This window comes from Homo sapiens, chromosome 9 (genome assembly GCF_000001405.40).
Source record: "Homo sapiens chromosome 9, GRCh38.p14 Primary Assembly".
NCBI lineage: Eukaryota > Metazoa > Chordata > Mammalia > Primates > Hominidae > Homo > Homo sapiens.
This window is the reverse complement of record NC_000009.12, coordinates 21,161,076-21,166,948: the sequence shown is the minus strand read 5'-3', so window position 1 is coordinate 21,166,948 and position 5,873 is coordinate 21,161,076. Positions and strand designations below refer to the sequence as shown.

At 35.6% G+C, this 5,873-nt stretch overlaps 1 protein-coding gene across 1 annotated transcript; it reads left to right on the top strand.

Moving 5' to 3' along the window:
• Positions 289-1,312, top strand: IFNA21 (interferon alpha 21). Its single transcript, NM_002175.2, has one exon. It carries the CDS (start codon positions 337-339, stop codon positions 904-906), a length of 570 nt encoding a protein of 189 aa, NP_002166.2. The 5' UTR covers positions 289-336; the 3' UTR covers positions 907-1,312.

Sequence of the window (5,873 nt, the reverse complement as noted above, 5' to 3'; positions counted from 1 at the left end):
TAGAGATATACATATTATACATAAATAGATAAGCCAAATCTGTGTTACTAAAATTTCATGAAGATTTCAATTAGAAAAAAATACCATAAAATGTTTTGAGTGCAGGGGAAAAATAGGCAATGATGAAAAAAAATGAAAAACATCTGTAAACACATGTAGAGAGTGCATAAAGAAAGCAAAAACAGAGATAGAAAGTAAAACTAGGGCATTTAGAAAATGGAAATTAGTATGTTCACTATTTAAGACCTACGCACAGAGCAAAGTCTTCAGAAAACCTAGAGGCCAAGGTTCAAGGTTACCCATCTCAAGTAGCCTAGCAATATTGGCAACATCCCAATGGCCCTGTCCTTTTCTTTACTGATGGCCGTGCTGGTGCTCAGCTACAAATCCATCTGTTCTCTGGGCTGTGATCTGCCTCAGACCCACAGCCTGGGTAATAGGAGGGCCTTGATACTCCTGGCACAAATGGGAAGAATCTCTCCTTTCTCCTGCCTGAAGGACAGACATGACTTTGGATTCCCCCAGGAGGAGTTTGATGGCAACCAGTTCCAGAAGGCTCAAGCCATCTCTGTCCTCCATGAGATGATCCAGCAGACCTTCAATCTCTTCAGCACAAAGGACTCATCTGCTACTTGGGAACAGAGCCTCCTAGAAAAATTTTCCACTGAACTTAACCAGCAGCTGAATGACCTGGAAGCCTGCGTGATACAGGAGGTTGGGGTGGAAGAGACTCCCCTGATGAATGTGGACTCCATCCTGGCTGTGAAGAAATACTTCCAAAGAATCACTCTTTATCTGACAGAGAAGAAATACAGCCCTTGTGCCTGGGAGGTTGTCAGAGCAGAAATCATGAGATCCTTCTCTTTATCAAAAATTTTTCAAGAAAGATTAAGGAGGAAGGAATGAAACCTGTTTCAACATGGAAATGATCTGTATTGACTAATACACCAGTCCACACTTCTATGACTTCTGCCATTTCAAAGACTCATTTCTCCTATAACCACCGCATGAGTTGAATCAAAATTTTCAGATCTTTTCAGGAGTGTAAGGAAACATCATGTTTACCTGTGCAGGCACTAGTCCTTTACAGATGACCATGCTGATAGATCTAATTATCTATCTATTGAAATATTTATTTATTTATTAGATTTAAATTATTTTTGTCCATGTAATATTATGTGTACTTTTACATTGTGTTATATCAAAATATGTTATTTATATTTAGTCAATATATTATTTTCTTTTTATTAATTTTTACTATTAAAACTTCTTATATTATTTGTTTATTCTTTAATAAAGAAATACCAAGCCCAAATGTGCAATCTCATTAAAGAATGGATGGTACAATTCATTTACCCATCATCATTGTATCCAAATTGTAAGTAAAAATTGACTTTCTCTAAGCGAGGTTTTATATTGCCCTTAGGATATCCAGGTGAACATAACAAATACCGTTTTCGCTTTCTTGTATCTTTTATTTTTGTAAGGAAAATAATAACTATACTTTCTAATACCTGTTACATTAAATGCTATAGTGAGAAGAAATAAAAACAAATGAAATTCAGTAAAACTGAAGCAAGGCATATCAAAATTTTTTTTAAAAAAGTAGTAGATATCCTCTATAGCAGACAAGTAGACATCTAAGTGCAAGTGTCCATTGGTAACCTGATATTTTTGTCTGTAATTTACAAGCAATACCATGAAGTGAAAGCTTGGGAACAGAATATGTCACATGGGTTGAATAGAATGAGAAAAACACTTAAAATTTATTCCTGCAAACTTCAACTTTAAAGGGAGAGAAGAGCCAGGAAAGAGTTTGAATGGCCATGCATTGGGACAAGAAAAAATGTTGTTAAAAGCATATTTAAAAGACTGAAACTGCTTAGAAGAATCAATGCATTCTTGCAAAATGTGGATTGAAAGTGTACACTACATCTGGAAAATAGATGGCATTGCTGCTGATAGAGATAGTTGGGTGGAATTAATCATAGTGGAGTAAGCTGGAAGAGTGAATCGGAGAAGAGAAATCAGTGACAATACATATAGAAAATGATTTTGAAGTTTGCTTTCAGAATTGGAGGACAGAAATAGAGTGGGACTTTGAAAAGAATGTGGATTTTTTTTCTCTGAATAATTTTTACTTCAAAAAATATATTTGTCTCTGGATAGATTTTGTGAATTTGATGGACAGCCAAACCACTTTAATATGTTTAATATTTTGATTTGAAATTATGACACTTTAATTAATTATAATAATCATTGTTTTTCTTCATTATTTTGATTAATACTATGTTAAATGTCATTAAACTGCTCTGTGGATTGAAACCATTCACTACAGTGGGAACACAGATCATTGCTGACCTTATGAGAAATGGACAAGTGGAAGTAATAAGCAGAAACCATACTGAGGTAGGTGAAAGGATAAGAGAAAACAAGAACTTCCATTTTCTTTTTTCATCTAGAGAGTCACTTTGTTTCTTTTACTTTTATTATATTGAGACTTACATTTCTTCTTTTGCCTCAACTTATGCAAATGTAATAACGGCTTATTAAAAAAGTTTAATGGAGAAAGAAAAATGATGACTTGAAAATTATGGGAAATAATAATACAGATTCTTTGCATTACCAGATTCTTTACATTTTTATTTCCCTGTTGAGGTACTAAACTCAAGATGAAATAGGGAGTAATTCAGAAGCAATAAGACAACCCTGGCAAAGAAAAATACTAATTTAATTATGTAGATAGATAGATAGATAGATAGATAGATAGATAGATAGATATAGAAATATATATATATAGAGAGAGAGATAGATATATATAGAAAGACAATGAGACCAGTAAGGAAGAGTAATTTTATCTAGCATCATATTCTGGACTTTATTGCCCCACATTTTTATTGTGAGGTGGAGAATGGTAAACCAAGAAGCTCAGTAGAAATGCACCAATGGAAAAATGAAGGGACATTCAGTAGTTACTTCAATATGACCTCCTTATAAGAAAAAGTAATCATTGAATCCTCTGGCTAGCTAAGAAATTTGGAGCGTAATAAATGTTCAACAGTTTAATGCATTGAACTCAAATTAGAAATCAACAATTGGCAAATAAATTTATTTTGCTATCTAAGATAAAAATTTAAAAAGGATAATTTACCCACCCCCTGACCACATGCACACATATTGAGCATACATTTTTGCTTTTGTCATCTGGAGGCTATGAAGACACTTGACACCTAAGTATCTGATCAAAGGAAGATGAGGTTACTGCTGCCAACCTAGGTCATTCACAGAAGTACTCTGGAGATATTTGATTGTTTAGGGAACAAAAGCAATCACCCTATAGTAAAGGTATACTAAAAGTTTCAAGTTGTGATGAGCTAACTTGTACTATCACATTAGTGTGTTGGCAAGAGTTAGATTGGAAGAGGTGTGTCTGTGAGCACTCAGATCCAGAGGGTCAGATTAAAGTTGTGCTCTCTGAGAGGTGAGATTGTGCTGGGGAAAGGATAACAATGTTGTGGGTCTTGGAATTAAAATTGGCACACCCATGTGCAATTAAAACATATAAGCTAGCCAGTGATTTTGACAACAATACTGAGTGAAAAACTCTTGCAACAATCCTGCACCTGAGGCCTTGGTGAGGCACAGTCACATGGACATGGCCACACTTGAAAGTCTTCCTGGTTTTTTTGTTTCTTTGCTTGTTTTCATTTTTGAGACAGTGTCTCGTTCTGTTGCCCAGGCTGGAGTGCTATGGCACAATCTCAGCTCACTGCAACCCCTGGCTCACAGGCTCAAGCAATTCTCATGCCTCAGTCTTCCAAGTAGCTGGGACTACAGGTGTGCACTACCATGCTCAGACAATTTTGTATTTTTATGTTTTATTAGAGATGATGTTTCACCATGTTGGCCAGGCTGGTTTTGAACTTCTGATGTCAAGTGATCTGCTCGCCTCAGCCTCCTAAAGTGCTAGGATTACAGGCATGAGCCACTATGCCTGGCTGAAAGTGCTCCTTTTTAAGAGAAAATCTGAGAACACTATTTGTTAACAACTGTCTTTTTTTTATGTTTTTAGCTACACCTATTGGAATGTGATAGTTGTTAATAATTGTATCCTACTGGAATATGATACTTGTTAATAATTGTATCTTGAGTCATTACTATGAGACCTGTGATAATGATAAAAGAGTGAACAAGATATAGGCCTTTCTCCTAAGGAGGTTACTTGTCAAAGGGGTCTAATAAATCCTGTCTCAGATGTATAGATTGTGAAGATTTTCTTCCACTCTGTGGGTTGTCTGTTTACTCTGCTGATGGTTTCTTTTGCTGTGCAGAAACTTTTTAGTTTAATTAAGTCCCACCTATTTATCATTGTTTTTGTTGCATTTGCTATTGGGTTCTTGGTCAAGAAGTCTTTGCCTAAGCCAATGTCTAGAAGGGTTTTTCTGGTGTTATCTTCTAGAATTTTTATGGTTTCAGGTCTTAGTCTTTGATCTAGAATTATATCTAGAAGCCAATGTCTAGAAGGATTTTTCCGGTGTTCTATTCTATTCTATTCAGGTGTTATATTCTAGAATTTTTATGGATTCAGGTTTTACATTTAAGTCTTTGATCCATTTTGAGTTGATTTTTGTATAAGGTGAGAGATGAGGATCCAGTTGCATTCTTCTACATGTAGCTTGCCAATTATCTCATCACCATTTGTTGAATAGGGTGTCCTTTCCCCACTTTATGTTTTTGTTTGCTTCATCAAAGTTCAGTTGGCTGTAAGCATTTGGGTTTATTTCTGGGTTCTCCATTCTGTTCCATTGGTCTATTTGCCTATTTTTATACCAGTACCATGCTGTTTTGGTGACTATGGCCTTATAGTATAGTTTGAAGTCAGGTCATGTGATGCCTCCAGATTTGTTCTTTTCACTTAGTCTTGCTTTGGCTATGCAGGCTCAAATTCCATAAGAATTTTAGGATTGTCTAGAGATCTGTAAAGAATGATGGTTGTATTGGGATGGGAATTGCATTGCATTTGTACATTGCTTTTGGCAGTATGGTCATTTTCAAAATATTCGTTCTACCCACCCATGAGCATGAGATGTGTTTCTATTTGTTTGTGTCATCTACGATTTCTTTCAGCAGTGTTTTGTAGTTTTCCTTCTAGAGGTCTTTCACCTCCTTGGTTAGGCATATTCCTAAGTATTTAATTTTTTTACAGCTATTGTAAAAGGGGTTGAGTTCTTGATTTGATTCTCAGCTTGGTCACTGTTGGTGTAGAGCAGAGCTACTGATTTGTGTACATTAATTTTGTATCCTGCAACTTTGCTGAATTCATTTATTAGTTCTAGAAGCTTTTTGGAGACCTCTTTATGGTTTTCTAGGTATAGAAGCATATCATCAGCAAACAGCAACAGTTTGACTTCCTCTTTACCAATTTGGATGCCCTTGATTTCTTTCTCTTGTCTGATTGTTCTGGCTAGGACTTCCAGTACTATGTTGAATAGAAGTAGTGAGAGTGGGCATTCTTGTCTGATTCCAGTTATCAGAGGGAATGCTTTCAACTATTCCCCATTCAGTATTATGTTGGCTGTGGGTTTTCATAGATGGCCTTTGTTTCCTTAATGCATGTCCCCTCCATGCCGATTTTGCTTAGGGTTTTAATCATAAAGCGATGCTGGATTTTGTCAAATGCTTTTTCTGCATCAATTGTGATGATCATGTGATTTTTGTTTTTAATTCTGTTTATGTGATGTATTACATTTATTGACTTGCGTATGTTAAACCATCCCTGCATCCCCGGTATGAAACAAGGACCTAAAACAAATTAGCAAGAAAAAAACAAACAACCTCATCAAAAAATGGGCTAATGACATGAATAGACAATT

Excerpts from the sequence above, each read along its gene's own strand:
- IFNA21 (NM_002175.2), top strand. The coding sequence starts at position 337 with ATGGCCCTGTCCTTTTCTTTACTGATGGCCGTGCTGGTGCTCAGCTAC.